General features: G+C 35.1%; 1 protein-coding gene across 41 annotated transcripts in view, besides 1 other annotated feature; it reads right to left on the bottom strand.

Annotated features, from left to right (window-relative positions):
* Window positions 1-19,962, bottom strand: part of ROBO2 (roundabout guidance receptor 2) — a 1,743,290-nt gene that overhangs the window by 100,478 nt on the left and 1,622,850 nt on the right. For all 41 annotated transcript variants that reach the window (NM_001378191.1, NM_001378195.1, NM_001378196.1 and 38 more), the window contains one exon: window positions 3,025-3,149. In NM_001378191.1, coding sequence (NP_001365120.1) covers window positions 3,025-3,149 — 125 coding nt within the window. The remainder of the gene's footprint in view (window positions 1-3,024; window positions 3,150-19,962) is intronic.
* Window positions 15,202-16,401: an enhancer, noted in NCBI's record as "CDK7 strongly-dependent group 2 enhancer chr3:77582237-77583436 (GRCh37/hg19 assembly coordinates)". NCBI's record gives its function as "activates an origin of replication core promoter dependent on BRD2, BRD4, P300/CBP, MED14 and CDK7 cofactors, with strong dependence on CDK7, by STARR-seq in HCT116 cells {active_cell/tissue: HCT116}" and the evidence as "EXISTENCE:reporter gene assay evidence [ECO:0000049][PMID:35650434]".

The following is a 19,962-nucleotide window of genomic DNA, read 5'->3' as shown; positions in this document are numbered from 1 at the left end:
AAAATGTGTACTATTATATAAGGCTAGACATTTTCATGCATAGAAACACAATTTGAGAATCAGCTGATTCTACTGTAGATTCCAAATGTATTATCAAAATAAACGAGCTAAAAGAGAGAGTCTAAATTTTGAAGTCACTTGAAAATGATACAATAACTCAAAGTGCACACTTTCCCACAATTAGCCATTAGAATACTAATTTACATAGCACTAATATATCAGATGGGCTTTATTCTCTACGGGATGGCTTCCTCTACAATGTACCATCAGTCCACCTTCTAAATGATTCGTTGACATGGAAAATGGCATTATATGAAGGTTAACCCATCATTTTTCTTCTCTGCTTGCATGACATAGGCAAAAGAAAATGGATTACAAGCAAAAACCGGGAACTTCACAGCTCTTCCCGCCTTGGAGAGTGCCTGGGTATCCTATTAGAGCTAATTGGCATTATCAGCATATATTGAGAAATATGGACCATTAAGTTCAGGCTTTTAACTGTTTCTACTGATGGATGGTCATAGATAACTGTAAAAACTGGATACTGGAAATAGTAAGACCGACTTATTTTTTCCCAATATCCCAATTCATGATTTGAGAATTTATAATTTGCTCAAGCACTTCTCTCTTGTTCTCATTCACAGTATTTTCTCTCTGTGTATCTCTTTCTCTTTCTCTCTCTCTCTCTCTTTCTCTCCCACCACATCCCTCTCTATCTCTACCTCTATCTCTCTGATGGGAGAGAGATAGGTGAGGAAAAGAAAACTAGACTTAAGATTTTATGTAATCTTTAACATTAATATCTCTGGAATTATATGCCACTTCGTCAAATACAGAAAAAGGAATACTGAAATGCTATTTAATTGTTATTTATTTTGAAACCATTAACAAAGATGTAGCATATTTAAATATCCTATGTTTATTAAGCTACAAGGCCAATACACATTTTATGCACTACCTTGTAATTCAACTTGGAGCTACTTTAGGGAATGTGATTTACACCTGATATGGTCTTAGCTATATAATAACAAGTCACATTATAATGAGATTTCACTCAATACATGGATTTAAAGTGTGAGTATGCAATGATCAAATTGCTTTACATCATTATATTTACTACCAGTGACATAACATTTTGCTTAACCTTCATAATGTGTAAAGCAACTTATTCATTTAAACTTTGTTTGTGTGAAGTAAAATGTGTTAGCTCTGTATTTTAGATTAAGAAAATGAGTTCCAGTACATTTAAATAGCACTACAAAAGTTGTACAATTTATAAGGAGGAAACTGGATTTTGAATTCTCTCCTTTTTGTGTGTGTGTGTGTGTGTATGTGTATGTATGTGTATGTGTATGTGAGTGGTGTGTGTTTATGTGTGTCTATGTGTGTGCATGTATGTCTATGTGTATGTGCGTTATGTGTGTATATGTGTGCATGTCTCTGTGTGTGGCGTATGTGTATGTGTGTGGTATGTGTGTGTATATGTGTGTCTGTCTCTGCATGTGTGTGTATATGTGTGTGTGTCTAAGTGTGTGTGTATGTGTTTAATTGTCATGCTGCCTTACACTTACTTTAGAGTCTGAGACGCTAACATCTGAAAAGAATTTTAAAGCAAACAGTTAAAGAACTCTATGTGTAGAAACCTGTTTTGTAATTACTAAATTAGAAAGAAGATTTGAGAGTTAAGGCCTGGAACAGTTCTGATGTGGGATAAGGCAGTGGCCATCACCTTTCCTTACATTCCCGTCACTACGTTTACATTCCACAAATCACAAGAGGAATGACTCCACCAAGGAGAGCTGAGTGAGGAATAAAAGGCCATTTGTCCATCCAGACTGAGCTGTTAGAACTGCTCACTATGAGCTGGTACAGGAATTTATAGAAACCCACAACAATTAGACATAATGGCTGCACAGAACTTCTACAGGCTTCCTTGCACACATGTATGTTGCAGATAAACACATGTAAGCTTTAATCAACAGAGTCTTCTAATGCAACTTACATTTCCCATCTCTGGCCAAGGTTTTAGATTTCCAGAGATGTTTAATAATGATTTCCATTATTCCCAAGGAAATTCTTCTGGAACATGTAGTAATAACAGAATGTGATGAGGAAGACCACCAGTAGGTCTCTTCCTCAGAATATGCCTAGTAGTGCATGTTTCTAGAAAGTTTAGAAGGAAAATATCTCCAGGTCCCATGGGAATGCACAGATAAATTATTTTGCAAACAACACAATTTTTAATCTAGTTTTACCTGGAAATTTCACTCATTGACTACGAACCTAGAGGCTAAGCAGTTGTCCAACTTTAGACAGAGTTCTAAATGAGAAAACTAGTGTATCCAGTTGACTTTCCATAGAGACTCTGAGAGGCCATGTTGCCCAGAGAGGGCCCTGGAGAGGACAAACCAGGGCAGAACAAAGACAAGACAGGTATGGGTTCCTTCTAGTGTACTATGTATTATTTCCTGTCTAACCCCACTATGGATGAATCCAGGAGGAATGGAGAAGGAAAAGATTTATCCTACTCTTAAATGGAAGCATGCTTTAATTAAGGGTAAGAAAAGTCATTTATGCTGTGTATATAAGAGAGAGGATTGAAATTCTGGGCCAATTAAACAAATATTTGACTGTTTTCCATGTCACAGAGATTGTTCTAAGTACTGCATATGTCCTGACTCTATCACACCACGTATCTCAATACAAGAAAACAAAATTAGCTTTACCTTCACAGATTTTAAATAGCTACAGAGGTTTTGGTTGGACTTTTAACGATAATTTTGTTACACTGCTTTATTGCTGTTCTATGTAAGAGACAGAATTTTGAAAAGATTAATACTAGCAAATAAAGAATGCTATTGCTAGAACATCTGACTCCTACTTATTTTTACATTCACCAGTCTCTTTTTCAGAAATAAAATAAATTCAAACATTGAGAACAAGAGAAGCAAGGCAAGCTTTCAGGAGCAGCAGAGACAGTAGAAGTTCAGAGATTTCAGAAAAGCAGTGAAGCCTCACACTCACCTGGCTGCCTTCTTTCTGCCAAAAAACAGCTGGCTGTGGGTTTCCTTTAGTTTCACAGGGAAATGTCACTGTTCGACCTTGAGCAACAATCTGATCTCTTGGCCGAACCACAAACTGTGGGGGAGCTATAATTTAAAAGAAAAGAAAGCGTGTAAATATCAACCATAGACAAATAAAAATATGTCAAGGAGAAAATATGGTACTATGTTGACTGTTCAGTGCCAGAGAGAGACTACAGTTTTTTATTTACTTTTACACATTTCTCAAAACACAAAAAGAAAGACATTATATTCAATCCAATGTGAGGAAAGAAGCAAACTTTTTAGCAGACGTATTTTATATGTTGTACATTGTAATCCTTTGGCCTACATATACTTGCATAGAAAATTAGATTTTTAAATGATTTTAACATTTTTAAGGAAAAACATGGATTTTCAAGTTGGTTCTGCTTTTTAAATAAATAAAGATAAGAAAAGAATCACTCTCTTACTCAACCATCTCCTTCCTCTAAAGTCAATTTATTTATAAGCATTGGCAGTTTTTGTAGTTACTGCAAGAATTATATAAGGCACAGGGATACCAAAGGGTATAAAATATGACCCCTATTCTTAAAAGTGCTTATATCTAGAATTCAAGAGTTGAAAGATTAAAGACATTGAAGAATTGAAGAGATGGGAATTATATACAAGGGTAATAAGCAATATAAATAAATGTATTGAAATGGTTGACTCAATCTAATTTATTTCATTTAGATAGATAAAGGTTAGTCAGGTAATTACTATGTTCCCCTACTGGGCACTAAAGATACAGAGATGGGAAGCTTTTATCCTGAAGCCATCAAAGAGCTTAGAGTCTAAGGGAAATGAAAAACACAATGACAATGACAAAAACAAAAACGAAATTAAATCAACACTTATCTAAGACTGTGGTAAGTGCAATGGTAGAGGTAATCTCAGACCACAGTGGAAGAGAATTTAAGTTATTGTATATATACGAAACACAATAAGACTCAGGAGAAAGAAATCCCTTGGTGTTGTAAAACCTACAGAAGGCTCTGTGTAGAAAATGGGCATTATGGGAGCTTTGAGGTAAATGGAAAAATGAACACATTCCAAACAAGGAGATTATGGAGCAAAGTATAAGAAGCAAGAACAAGCTTAGGATACAGTGTGTAATTTGGCAGGATGGAGGGTCCAAGTTATGTAAACACTTTTGGCTACAAAGGAGGGTTTCAGAAGTCAAACTGAGGATTTTATTCTGATTTTTTTCTAAGCTGAAAAGTGACAGATGCAAAAGTAATTTTTGGCAGCTTTAACCCTCTGATGAATGTAGCATGGATTGGAGAGGAAGCCACTTAGTCTATAAAACAAGAAGTCTGGCTGGGAGGCTAGTAAAATGGTACAGGTGAAGCTAATGAGACCAAGACATAAGTAACTCCGACAGAAAATAAAAGAAAGGGATGGGGGTAAAAATCCTAAGAAAGTTCAGATTTAAATGGTGGTCTAATGATCTTGAGAGAGAATAAAGTGAAAGACAGTAGGCAGTATCATTGGAAGTTTTCACAAGGGCGTCTCCCTACCAAAATCCATTTTTGTTGAGCAGAAAACACAGTGTTTATTCCATGACTTTTCTAATAATCTATATCCACTTTAACTCGCTTCTTAGGCTAGAAAACTGAGACCAAGAAAACACTTTAAAATCAACTCTAATTTTTAGAACCTAGTGGCACTTTAATGCCCTCTAACCATGAGTGATGTCTGGTAAAAACTGTCACTGGAAATCATTTCAGTCCTTCAGGAGAAAAGAAGTGCAGGTCCAAGAATGGGGTAAACGTAGATCAGCCCCAAACACGCAACCAATTCTTCATCCTTACAAGAATCCTAGCGTAGAAAAAGCAGCAGCATTTTTCCAGACAATTCCCTGGGATTTGTATTGACTTATTTTTTGGTGTTCTATTATACCGCCTCCTAGTTCAACGCATCTAACGCATAACCCAGGGACAGATGGGATAAATCTACTAAATGACATTTTCTTCTATAACTATAGATTAACAGAAGACTCATTCTAGCAGTATGGAAAACCCAGATTTATGAATCTGTTTGAACAGAGCGTGGTATAGGTTGCCTTGTATTTTCAGGAGATTAGTTGCTTCTTACAATCTTCTTGTTATTTCCACACAGTTCTCCCGAATCAGCAGATACATTGATTTTTGTTCCATGTTTTCTCATAGAAATGATGGTGTAAATCAATGTTAAAAAATTATTTTAGAGAAAACTCTTAAAACACTGCAGTGACCATTTTTTCAATAGAAATGTGAAACCACCAGGTATTTGTGCCAAAAAAAAAAAAAAACACTTAAGGTTTGTTTCCGTCATCTGCAATCTTGTAGAAAAATTATATTTGTTATGAAAAAGTTAAGAATGAGTATATAGTTATCTCTTTGTGATCCTATAAAGAAAAATAATAATGCCAACATGGACACTTGCCAAGTGAGGAGTGTTGAATAATTTAGCATGTATCGAAAATTATTAAAAACTCAAAACTCAGTTTGGTCAAAATCAGTCACTTAAAAGATTTGAATAAAAATCACCTATTTAGCTGATTAGTTAATTTGTACTGCTTTGGGCCAGAAAGAATTTAAATTACCTCACAAAAGTAGTTAGTAAAACCTTAGAGTCCTGGATACTCTATACAGTCCTTCTTTACAAACTTTTAAAATATATTAACTGAGAATAAACGTGATTGAAATCATCAAATGAAATCAATGAAATATCAACATATATTTATGTATTTCATAGTTTTAAGCATATTATTCTTCATCTATCCAGTAAAATTACAAATCTCTATCACTAAAATTACCATGTGTACTTTAGAAGTACAGACTTCCAAGAATTTAATTTTCAAACTTTTGAAACATTTTTTTTGTAGATGAGTGATTTTGCAAAATGCTTTTGGCATCCAGATAATACGATTTTAACACCACTGCTAAAATATAGTCCTCAAAATAAGGACTGGCAAATGACCGCATCTATGCATCCACTTTTCTGAAAAGACATAATTCATCCATTTATTCACACAAAATGTACTGATTGACGAAAAATGATGATACATTCTGGTTGGTACAGGAGATGGGAAGCCAAATAAAATTGTTCTTGCCCTGTGGCAGAGGCTTACAAGTAAATATATAAATAAATACACAAAAACAGCAAAATGTGATTTTTTTCAATGAAAACAGAAAAAATGCAGATGGCACTGGGGGAGAAAGAGTGGAACAGAACCAATCAGGCCATGTTGTGAGAAAAAAAAAGAGAAAAGCTGCTAGGGCATGGCTACATTAGAGCTGTACTTTGGAGGACAACTAAGAGCTGACTAGGCGAAGAGTGGTAAGGTGACTTGGGACAAAGAGAAGCAGCACATAAGGCAGAGACCCACTGAACTGGATTTTTAGGGGCATGTAAAAGATTCTGAGAATAAAAGAAATCTAGGTCACAGTGGTCATATAGATAGGGACAGATGATTTCTGCTAAACAAGTGTAACATTTCATTCTGAAAACTCTAAAGATCTGTTCAAAGACATTTTTGTAAGAAAGATATAATCAGATTTATATTTTGGAAAGGGTGCTTTAGAAGCAATGTAGATGAGGATTAGAGAAAGAGCAAAGACAAAGAGCTGGCAAATCTTCACAAGTTGGGGCAGAGAATCCAGTTGAGAATTTTTATTTTTAGTAGCACCTAAAGATACCATTTCATCAGGGCTTTTAAAGGACAAAGAAATTCTGCAAAATCAAAACATAATATTTACCACTGATGGTATAATCTAAAAAGGACAGGAAATTATAATTTCTGGAACTTTTACCCAATACTGGATTATTTTAAAGACCACTAACAAAAAACTGTCAGCATCTGTTATTTATCCTATAAAATATATTATCACGTGATGTTTATGTATATTGTACATTTACTCCAAGTCGGAAATGTGTTGTATTTCAAATGCATTCAATAGACTATTGTCACCAGAACTTATGCCACATTGATCTTGCTGGAACTAAAATCATCTAATCATATTTTAATTTTAAAAAATGAAAAAATGGAAACATTTATCAAAGCAAAAAATTTGAAGAGTATTCAAGTCTGTGAAAATACACATCCTTTCCTATTATCACCTGAAGGTGGACCAAAGAAACAAATTGCATCAATCACTTTTACTTTTGTAGACTCTCTGTCTGCCCTAGATCTATATTGCAATCTTCTGTGAAGGGATATCAGCTGAAGGAATTTATTTTTGAGGTTTTAAATGAAAAACTGCATCAATAATTCTTCTAATAACCCTCCACAGTTTCAGTGTCTCTGCCAGGTGGCAGTGAAAATGGTCTGAAAAGACAGTATTTGGCTGATGGCACCAAAGAGAGGGAGTAGACAGATGTGGCATTTTATCAACACAGCACAATAGCACAAAGTGTGCTATACATAAAATAGATTTTCTATAATGACTCCCATTAAGTATTAAAAAAAAAACTACTAGGTCCTCAAGACGACAATTCCAAACACATGCTTAAACCCAATGTGAATTAAAGAGATTGAGTTATAAACTCCAGAAGAATATGCCTGTTATAAAAATGGCAATTCTCCTATATGTCTCTGAGACAGAAGACTATAAAATATATACTTATATTCTGTCTAAAACCTGAAAGCATTGGAAAAATCTTTTGTTAACTATGATGTAATATCCTACTTGCTTAATCTGTCACGTGATTATACCTTATTGCTTCAGCTATAACTAGAAATGAGACGAAGCAAACAGAATGACACAATTTAGTGTTTAATCAACACTTACAAGCTGAAAAACAATAGCTCTATAAGGAAAGTATGTTGTGTGATTTCCAGAGAAGTAGACCCAAATATAAAAAGGTCAATTAAGATTAGAGGTCTGGGACAGTTCACTTGAAACTGTGTTTTGAGAATTTAAATACAATGCACAGTAAATTAGATTTGATTTCTGCTAAATGATGCTTTGATACTGCATTCAGCCCAAGCTGGCTTCAATCAAAGTCACGCTGCAGCTCTGTTATGCTAATGCCTGCTGGTGAGAGTGAGTGGGTGACATGGAAATCAGATGGCTGAACATGAGTAGGAAGCACAGGCCGTGCATGAGTTGGGCTTTGAGATGAGGGGATGGGGGACTCTAAAGGTTAATCACATCATGTTCAGAGTTGTTTTAACAGGAAAATATGACTTCCTATGGCAGGCATTAGCATGGAGAGAGTCATGCAACAGCTACGTACATTCATATGTGGCACAGGGTGAATACAGTCATGCTCAGCCACTCTTTTTCTTTGGATATAATTTTATGCCTGAATGAATAAACTTTTAATTCTATAATTGCCATTTCGAATTTTTTGACAAACTCAAGTAGAATTTTTTTTGCTATTTCATATATTTACTTGTTAAATACTAACATATTCTATAAGCATATTTAAGAAGCATTCTCTTCCTTCATATGCTTGAGTTAAAATTTCACTTAGTCACAAACTGTTTAGTAGAATGGCAATAATTAACATTCATTGAGAGCTTATTATGTGCTAGGGTTTGTGTTAAACCCTCCACAGGCATTATCTCAATTAATATTTGAAAAGCCTTATGTTTCAACTACTATCATAATGATGTAAAACCAGTAAACTGAATCTTACTCAGGGCATGAGTAACACAGCTTTATTAATTTATTTTGGTTTATTAAGTTCCCCTGTGCATGTGCAGGATGTGCGGGTTTGTTACATAGGTAAATGTGTGCCATGATGAACTGCTGCACCTACCAACCCCTCACCTAGGTATTAACCGCAGCATGCGTTAGCTCTTTTTCCTGATGCTCTCCCTCCCCCTGCGCGCCCCCACTGCCCCCGACTGGCCCCAGTGTGTATTGTTCCCCTCCCTGTGCCTATGTGTTCACATTGTTCAGCTTCCACTTATAAGTGACAACATGCAAGAAATACAGCTTTCTTAGTTAAATTAGATTGGAGGACAGGTTTGACTTCTGGCTTATTCGAATGCCACAGTAGGAACTCTTAAACACTGAGATGCCAGATTCATTTGGTTCCGTTCGAACCAAGATCTGATTAACTAAAAATTTGTCATATCTAATACGAAGAAGAATGATAGAACTTTAACGCTATTATTTCCAATATGCTACAAAGATTTGCAAAATAATAACATTACGTTTCTTCTGAATGATTGTTTTTATTATTAGGGTAGCATAAAACCCATTACTTTTCTCTTTCTATACTACCTGTAAGTATAACCTTTCTTAAGCACACTTCCTTCAAGTCACTCTTTATTCATAAACCTATAGTGCTTTTCATCGCATCACAGTGAAACCTACAATACTTACCATAGCAATGCTTGCAAATTATTCTTCTCCGTGTAGCATTCTGGCTTCCATCAGCTGATCTAAGATTTTCCAATCCTGACACTCATTTGTCCCCAAACTAGCTCCAGCATTTCAGCAGAGCAGTCTACTTTCAATCACTAGTATTTGCTTGGTCTTGTGGTTAACCCACCCCGATATCAATTATCCTTTGGTCCTCTTTGTCAACAATGATTAACCTGAACAATCTCTGACCTTGTGCTTGTCTTGTGTTCTTTCCAATTTAAGGTACTTGCTCTTGCTTGCATTGCCTTCTCTATTTTTCCCCAGCCTATATGTCTGACTTCCTTAGTTCAGTTTGAAGATTTTACTGGTATGGGGTGCTGTCTACAATTTAGCATATAAATGGTATATTTTTTTCACCTAGAAAAGCCCAAAACAGTGAACACTAAATGAATGCCTCGGAATAGTACATTTTAAAAAGAACAGAATTCTTGATCTAAAGCAAATACTCAATATTTTTTCCATCTCATTATACCTAAGGAATAATATATCTGCATTATTATACCTATTCCATTATACCTATACACATACCCACCAGTGACAGTGACTTACTATTGCAGTAGTAAATATAGTGTTTGAAAACAATATATATGTGATTTGAAAAAAAACTAATCGATTCTGATATGTGTTGTTTCAAGTATGTTACCTGAATACAAATCTAACCGATTCTGATACGCCCTTTTGTAGAGAGTGCTGCTACACAACGTTGAAAATGTATGACCCAAAGCCTATAAATGAGTAGCCAACATTCCAGAGTAACAAAAGCACTACAGACAAATAAAGACATTGTGTAACAATGGGTTTTAAAAGTTCCTGCAAAAGGCCGGGGGGCGGTGGCTCACTCCTGTAATTCTACCACTTTGGGAGGCCGAGGCGGGTGGATTGTCTGAGCTCTGGAGTTTGAGATCAGCCTGGGCAACATGGTGAAACCTCGTCTCCACTAAAATACAAAACAAATTAGCTGGGCGTGGCAGGGTGCGCCTGTAATCCCGGCTCCTCAGGAGGCTGAGGCAGGAGAATTGCTTGAACCCGGGAGGCGGAGCTTGCAGTGAGCCGAGATTGTTGTGCCACTGCTCTCCAGCCTGGGCGACAGAGCAAGCCTCCGTCTCTAAAAAGAAGAAAAAAAATTAAAAAGTTTCTGCAAAAATTAGTTAATAGGCTTGCCTCCACCAACAAGAAACAGAGAGTGAGAAATCGTTTCTTTGCAATGCAATTATAGACCAGTAGTAAGAGATAAATGTTTACTCAATTTATATTCAACTCAGTTTGGGTTCTAATTGATACGTGATTGTTTCTTCAACTTATTTAATTTTATTTAATTTTTACTATGTAATGCTTCATTTGATTTCAAAAGATTTTCTGTTAATAATATTGGAAATGCATACACACTGCCATGGAAATGTTGGATTTGAAGCTTATTAACACATAATTCATCTCAGAGGAAGCAATGTATTTATAATAGAAAATATAAATTAGAAATATAGGATTTAAAATAATCACTTTTATAGAGACTACTTAATCACATTTTACTCATTTGTCACTATTTCCAAGAAATGTAAATGATTGGCCAGGCGTGGTGGCTCACGCCTGTAATCCCAGCACTTTGGGAGACCAAGGCGGGCAGATCATGAGGTCAGGAGATCGAGACCATCCTGGCTAACACAGTGAAACCCCGTCTCTACTAAAAATACAAAAAATTATCTGGGCGTCGTGGCGGCGACTGTAGTCCCAGCTACTCGGGAGGCTGAGGCAGGAGAATGGCGTGAACCCGGGAGGCGGAGCTTGCAGTGAGCCGAGATCGCACCACTGCACTCCAGCCTGGGTGACAGACAGAGACTCCGTCTCAAAAAAAAAAAAAAAAAAAAAAAAAAGTAAATGATCAAATTGCTAAATTACCTACCTTTCTAATTAACTATTTTTTTTGTTTTTTATTGAGTCCATGGCAATAAATCCTTTAGATGAGTGATACACTTTCTTTGCCACCAGCTACTTCCTTGTAGCTAATAATAAAAATCCTTATTCCATAGTAAAATACCAATGTCTATACCTGATATGGTTTGGCTGTGTCCCCACCCAAATCTCATCTTGAACTGTACCTCCCACAATTCCCACGGGTCTTGGGAGGGACCCGGTGGGAGGTAATTGAATCACGGGGCAGGGTCTTTACCCTGCTGTTCTTGTGATACTGAATAAGTCTCACAAGATCTGATGGTTTTATAAAGGAGAGTTCCCCCACAAAGGGCTCTCTTGCCACCACCATTTAAGATGTTCCTTGCTCTTCTGCCATGATTGTGAGGCCTCCCCAGCCATGTGGAGCTATGAGTCGATTAAACCTCTTTTCCTTATACATTACCCAGCCTTGGGTATGTCCTTATTAGTATCATGAGAACAGACTAATACAATAATACCTTTTCTTTCAACAATAAGCATATATATGTATGTGCTTCTTCAATGTCAAAATGAAAAGGAAAAGCACTAAATGATATATTGCTCTCATAAATATGAAAAAATAATCAAAGAGAATAGAATGACTACCATGAGTCATAATCCTTAGATTCCTCATCTATTTAGACTTCATATTCTACTCTACACCCATGAGAGGTCTCACATATACATACAAATTACATTCATTCATTGTATGAGCAAAACATGTTACTATTATGCAGCTATTACTCTTTACAGTTTAGAAACAGTCTTGGAATTTGTTGATGGTGAGATTAATTTTGGAGGGTTCATATAATATCAGAACCTCCTCCCCACAAAAAAAACTCTCAATTATTCAAAATCTGATTACTTAAAAAGGCAGTGAAGTCAGCCAATAATTACATAGTATGACGACAAAATAACAGAAGTGGCTTCTGAATTGCCATGTGTTGCAACTGTAAAGGCAATTCCAAGGAGGCATTGGATTTATTTTGGTAAGTGTAATACACCCCCCCCCCACAAAATATGTATATGTTTTATGAAAGTGGTTCAAACCATTTGCTTTCACTTAGAGTCACACATAATGTGCTCCTGCCTGAAATGCCACAATGTAAATATCAAAATGAAATAATTCTACAATAATCTAGAATGGAAAGAATGCTTCTGAAAAGAGTTAACTCAGTTCAAAATGTCTTGCATTTTTAGATCTCATAAGCAGGCACATAAAAACAGTGTTGTAATGAACAGCTATAAGCACATAGCCATTTTATACTTGGGCCAGTGCCTTCACACTTATATTTTTGTTTTTGAAGGCAAAATATTACTGGAACGTACCACAGTAATAAATTTCTACAAAAATGAATTCAGATGTTGCATGGCAATTCAATTCATAATACTATCCAATTATTTTTTTAAACAACATTAGTGGTTTTCTTTTCTGTCAGAGGGTACTAAGATCTCTGTCCTGTGGAAGTCACCTCCTACCACAAGAGACATTCCTGGAAACAATCAAGCATGTTACAACACATTTTACAATTGTGTTGTGACATGTTACAATACAATGAAGGTTGTAATACAATACATACTAAGCAAAAGAGTAACTTGACTCAGTTGGCCTTCTACAGCTGGAGAAACCATAGAGAGAGAAAGAGAGAGAGGAAGAAAAAGAGGAAAGAGATGGAGGGAGAGAGGGAGAAGAAAAGAAGGAGAGAGAAAAGAAGAGAGAGAGGGAAAGAGAGAGAGAAACAAATTTGATTTGTTCTTTTAGATTAAGTTGGAAAGGAAGGAAGGGTGGGAGAGTGCTCCTCCCAGAGGGGAAAACAAAGGCAGTATGTTAGAGACAGGAATTTTGCAGACTGCTTTAAGGCACATTCCCCCCACCTGCTTCTTTGTGGCCTGTGGCAGTCTAGATGGGTGTGCTCCTTGAGTCAGTTTAGGTATTTGAAGGCCTCCGGCAAGTAATATAGTTCGACTATGAACTTGCTCATAGTTCGAGTTTGCCAGGCAGAAATTAAACTGAGGGATTGTAGGGGTGGAACCATGTATTTTTTCATCTAAATGGTCTTTACTGGGTTTAGCAAGTCCACTCTAATCCTATAATCATATTAAATATTTCTACATTGCAATCAATAGTAATAGTTTACTCACACTGTAAATAAGGTGGGTACATTTGCAGGTAATTTTAAACTTTATTATATTTCAGATTACTAAAATAGATTTCCTTAATTATAGGTAACTATAGGAAATCATGTAACTGTGGAAATCATTATGAGATTCGCCATGCAAGTTTCACAGAACTTTTAAATTATACATAGGTATAAATTGAGAGATCCCTAGGAAAATCTGTCAAAATATTAAACAAGTTCTGAACTTTTAAATTCCATTGTCCCATATTATTCTGTACTTTACCAGTGCGTTTGTAGCTTTGCTTTTCTACCTGCCTTTATAATTAAAATACTAAAAATAAAACAATAAAATTTTGTTTTCTTTAAGGGACTCTTAATATGAAATAAAAAGTGCTATTAACTTAAAAACGAATTCATTATTAGAGAAATTAACTCTTTGTTTGTAAAGAAATGATCTCATTTTTGACCAGCAGAAGAAGACTAGTTTAAAGTGGTGAAAAACTTCTTTCAAGATCCTAAATTCCTAAATTGGGAAAACTTGACTTCTCATACCTGGGATAGAAGGAGTTGTAAGTGTGGGAGTAAAGAGAGGGAAACTATAGCTTAAAATGGCTCTTCAAGTAAATGGTGAGACAAGACATCCATTTTCACTCACTTAACCTGTCAACTTGCCAGAACTGTCATGTCAGCACTCCAGCTAAACCACGAGGGCTGATCACATCCCATTATCTCATTTTTTAGAGAAAGATTGCATGAAGATGCCAATCAGAAAAAAAAAAAAAGAAAAAGAAAAAGAAAAACTTGAAACCAAGGAACAAATGTACTGATGCTGAAGGGTTGCTTAGTTAACGGAATTTTAATATGCAACTGCAATGTTTCTTAATAACATTAATTACACGCTTAGTAAGTCACCATCCTAGCTCATTAGTGCCTTCTTTTTGTTGTATTTTATCTGCTACCAGCAGAATGGGGAATATGTGATTGGCCTGTTACCATTAATGTTGCTTAATCTTTTTATAGCACTATTTAAAGCTGCTTGCATAAACATTTTCTAGGCAAGTACTACCTATGTATGCATATGCGTGTATCAATTAACTGCACCAACATTTGTGTGCCCCCACCACATGTAAGTGTTATGCTAGACCTAGAGGCAGCAGAAAGATAAATATAACAATGTATTTACTGACAAAGAGCTAACAGTTTTGTAGGGGAGATGAAAATAATAACCTCAGTAAATCTGGAAAGCAATACTTGCCATAAGTGAGATTTTAAAAGGCATTCAGATATATTTGAAATAAAAATGTAATATAGTTTGCTAGTTTATATATTTTTAATAAATCTAATTATGTACTATTCCCTTGAGTGACATTTAATATGTTTAAGCAAATAGTGTAGCAATTCAAATATCATGCATATGTAGGTGTAACACACATCATAAGATATATTTTACAGTATATGTATCATGACATCCCTGTCTACAAAGTGCAGCAACTTATGAAAATTCTGACTTTCTTCGAATACATAATTCAAAGTTAATGTGATTTTTTTCTGGACACAGCCAGTGAAACTTCTTAATACTAATCTCCTCATACCGTTTTGGGCCTAAGTATTTATATTATTCTGATATTTAATATTTATAGTACTTTAATTTTAAGTACTAATTAGAAATACTTAATATTTATTTTATTCTTATTTGAATAGGCTCCAAAAATAATGATTATTCAAACTTTTTGCTGTTTAGGTTAAGATAATTGAGTAAAGGCTTCACTTTCCTGTATTGAGTACAACAAAAGAAATGAATAATAAGAAAAAACTACTATAGCCCCAAAACCACAAATTATGAAGTACCCCTGCCAAATGCAGCAAAGTTTGAAGAAAGCTGAGGATGCACACTGGACACCAACATAACTAGCCTTAATCCTTTATCAATACCAGTTGCACAAAAATTATCTAACATCATTGTGAGAGCCCATCCCATGATCCTTTTATGGGAAAAATGATACTTAAAGTCAAGAGTGAGACATGGGAAATATGAGACATAACTGTAGAAAATAAGCTAAAATTCAGAAGGCGGAGAAAGAAGTATTGACAGAAAGAAAAAAAAAAAGCCTACTGTAGTTGGCAGCATTCTGAGGCCCCATGACCTCAGGCTTGCCCTTCCTGGAAATACTTTCATGATTATATTAGGTTACAAAAAATATTTTGAGATATACTTAAGGTTACTAATCAGTTGACCTCAGAATGGGTTGATTCATCAGCTGCGCCTTACTTAATACTCTGGATCTTTAAATCAGAAAGAGGCCTCGGAGAGCTACAAAGCAAAGCACATGAGGAATTCAGGGTGCCCCCGCTGGCTATGAAGGTTGTGGTGGCAGCAATGTGCGAAGGCTGAAGAGCAGCCACTTAACACAGTGAGTCACCCTGTCCAACAGCCAAGGAAATGGGAACTTCAGTCCTACAACCACAAGGAACCAGATTCCGAAAAACACCCCAAGGAACTTTGAAGTGGATTCCTCTGGACAGTCTCCGGAGGAGAGTGCAACCTGGCCAATATCTTGATTTTGGTCTGTGAAACCCTTAGGAGAAAACACTGTTGAGACTGCCTGCATTTGGGACCTATAGAATGACATTGTTTTAAATTGCTCATTGTGTGGTCATTTTTATGCAACAATAGAAAACTGACACACCTGAAAACCATCCTTATTATGAAGCAGGGAGTATAAAGGAGGATGAGGAGAGAGTCTTATAGGAAAATGCACACCCCTCATAACTTAAAAAGGGTGATTCTGTATCACCAGGCCTAGTACAATACTGAGAAGAACATAGTATGTTTTTAGTAAGATATTGAAAACAACATTCTAAATAAGGGTTATTGAATTACCCTGCTACTTCACATTTTCTCTTCTCCAAATATGCAAACTCTAGTCTTCAGAGCTAACCAGAAAATGAATAATCAGATAGGAACCAAAACAAAATCTATGCAAAACGAAATTTAACAAAAACCTGTATATTAACCAATTACTTATTTAATTCATGACAGAAAATGAACATAATTAATTAAAGAGAGATAAAGAACCTGTGTCTTCCAAGAATTACTCAAAGAAACACAGAAACAATTTAAAACAAATAACTTAGGCATCGTCTAAATGAAATTATATACAATGAAATCTCTCTTTTAAAAACGAAAAAAGGGTTACAAAGGCTAAAAGACAAGTAAAGATAAAGAATTTTATATTAGAGCTTAACAAGAAAATAACAAAAAACAAAAAAATTAGAATATATTTTAGAAATAAGAAATATATAATGATTGCAATTTTAAAAGTTAGAGACGCGGTATATTGTCATTGAGAAATCATACAATATGAAATAAAAATGATTGAAATTATTATAGAGAAGTTGATAAATGTGAAATTGAGACTAAGGAAAGCCAATATAACTAAGAAGAAATATAATTTGAAGAAATGAGAAAGTAAAACAGAAAAAAAATTCAAAGATAAAACAGAAGAAAAGGTTATTGAAATAAAGCAAGTTAAAGCATAGAACTGGCAGATTCAAGTGGCTTGTTGCGTCCTAGAAATATTACCTACAGGATGATCATTACCAAGATATAACTGAGCAAAGTTACTTGAAAGAAAGGACTACATGCATATTCATATGGTAAAAGAAAATCCCAGCCAAGAAAAAAATATATTTTTTGTTAAGTTTCAGACTACACTATAATACCATTCAATACCAAGACAATAGGACATTTTTACCAAGTTCTGAGAGGAAAAAAAAAGAAAGAAGTGTGAGAGTAATTTAAGACCCAGCCTCTCCTCCTGTTCAATGGACAGACATTGCCAAGTACACAAGGCTAGAACCAGCTCAGCCTGAGAAGTAACCCGCGCTTGTGTTTCACTTTAGAAATGAACATTAGCTTAAGATATTTTAAACGTTTCACATTATGGAAACTCAGTTGGAATATAGAAGATAAAACAGAATGCCTTTTTTAAACTTACCATTTAATCAAAACATATGGAGCAACGGAAAACCTGATGCTTAATAATAAGTAAATGGGACTCTGCATAAAGTAGCTAATTAGTGCCAGGTGCAGGAAACATTAAGAGCTCTCAGGAGGGAGATGATTACCTCAGGTCATGGGGTAACAGCTTGTCCAAAGAAAAGGGATGCAAGAAACAAAATTCTAGGTCTCCTTTCAAGGTACACTTAGAACATCTTTTGCAAAAAGTGCATCCAAACATGAAAAGGTTCATACATAATACCTTTAAGTTTTCTTATTTTAAAAAACTGTGATTTTCCAATATCCAATTATGTACAGCACATTATATTTTCCAAATTTCAAGTTGGGGTGGGAGATGGGGGTATCAAAATATTTGTTACATTATTCTTCAAGTAATGTCAGATTTATAATTCATGCTGAATGAATTTTTCAATCACAAACCATTTTTTTTTTTGGACTTCTTGGTGGCCTCAGAATAGACTGCTTTCAAACATGCTTTAACAAAACTTTGCTTCGACTCATAAAACAGAACTTTCTAAAATAGTATATTTAATTACTGTGGTTAAGCAGTTGAAACATTAAAAAAAAAATGTCCCTGTAGATTTCTGTTTAGAGTAGTGGCTGCTTATTTTAAAAAATAATTTTTAAATGGTGAATTTTGCCAAAAAGCATGTGTACTTCTTATTACTTCTAAATTCTTGTGTGGCCAATTACATTCTTCCATCAAAAGGAAGCATACTTTTGGGTCACTAAGTTAGAAAATACTTAGAAGTTTCCATCAAGTTGTGAATTGTCAGTTTGTTTTTTGATATTTTAAACAAGTTTCACGTGAAGTACTCAGCTTTCAGTTTTATACTCCAGGCAATCAGCATCTAGCATATGGTATACAAGTCACCAAACGGAACAGGACGGCTTCGTAAGCAAGGCATCTGGTAGATTCCACAGTTCCTTTCCAAATTACTCATCATGTTTTGAGTTGCTGCTGGGAAAAAATGTGGTGCCCATCTCCAAAATAGATGTTCTTTTTTTATTTTTAGGCTTGGGAGAGGCTTCCAATAGAAAAATAAGACAGATGGGTATAGGAAGCAAGATATTTTTCCCAATTTAGACCATTTTCTTCTGTCAGTTTCCTCATCAGAAGAGTTTTCCAAATAAACAAATGAATATTTCAGCATTCATAGTTAACTACATCCTACGATGTACTTTTCTTTTCATATAAAGAATGCCTTTGGAATAGTAAAACGTCAAAACCACAGGAAGGGCTTGTGGATTTTTAATTATTAAAGTGATAGTTGCCTAGATTTTGTGGCAACCAGCAAATATGAACGTTAGATTAAAGAGCTCTTTCTGACCCACTGGTGACACTGCAGATGAGCAAGTGAAATCTGTAAAACACTTTCCTCTGTTGGCAAGTATATGAACGTCCGCTTTCAGTAATACCTCCCACACTAGAGCATCCTCTAAGTTCACCTAGAGGAAAACTCTGAATACAGGCCAGAGGTGTTTATTCCAACTGTGACTGCAAGGAGTTGCAAATTCTTTAACACAAATGCATCGCACAAGAGTCATCCATTTAGACAAAATTCTCAGTTTGGGGGTTTGTAATGATTTCTAAAGGGGGCTTTCTACACAGACCATCAAGAAGTTTCATCCAGTGAGTAATGTAGTGAGGGTTTCTGAATCTCTAAGTATTCCAGAATCTGCAATGATTGCTAATTTTCATTCAAAAGCTCTAGGCAGAAACTATGATCTGAAATTTCTCTAAACGTTATATGCTTGGTACATATTTCTTCATCTAATTTATATTGGAACTACAAGCTGTTTTTTTCTCCCCTTTCTGTGGCCTCTACCTTGCAGAATGCCCTTTATGCTATTGCTAAGAGCTGCAAAGTTGAAAAATGTGCTTTTTAGTGCATTAACAAATATAAATAATAATGTAGTTTTTCTATGATTTTAATATGTAATCATTATTTTACTTGGCTTATACTTTTTGACCATACAATAAATGTTCAGATATCTATGTTCTTGAATTAAAATTGATGTAAGAAGTAGATACAAAAAAAATGAGGCTAATTGCCTTATTATGTGTCTTCTTTGGAAATCCAATTAAAACATATCCAACATTCAGTTTTTAAAATTAATAGTAGTTGTCAAGTTTAAAGTATAGTTCTTTATATTTCTGAACATTGTCATAAGTCATTTGAGATAGATTTATGAAATGACAGACTTCCCCAGAATAAAGTACAATGTGTCAAGAAGCTATTCTTTAGTTCCAGTCCAATGGGAATTTAAGAAATCATTTCAAACGGGAATAAAAAATGGAAATAACTTTGGAAACATCTTGCAGATGACAGATACATCTCAATACTCTGTGTATATCACATTTTCAAATCAATGTACTTTTTCCTACATTTAAAGATTTTAAATATATTGGAAATTATTAACATACTATTCTATAACATAAATCA

Source organism: Homo sapiens, chromosome 3 (assembly GCF_000001405.40).
Source record: "Homo sapiens chromosome 3, GRCh38.p14 Primary Assembly".
Taxonomy (NCBI): domain Eukaryota; kingdom Metazoa; phylum Chordata; class Mammalia; order Primates; family Hominidae; genus Homo; species Homo sapiens.
This window is presented reverse-complemented; position numbering and strand designations above follow the sequence as displayed.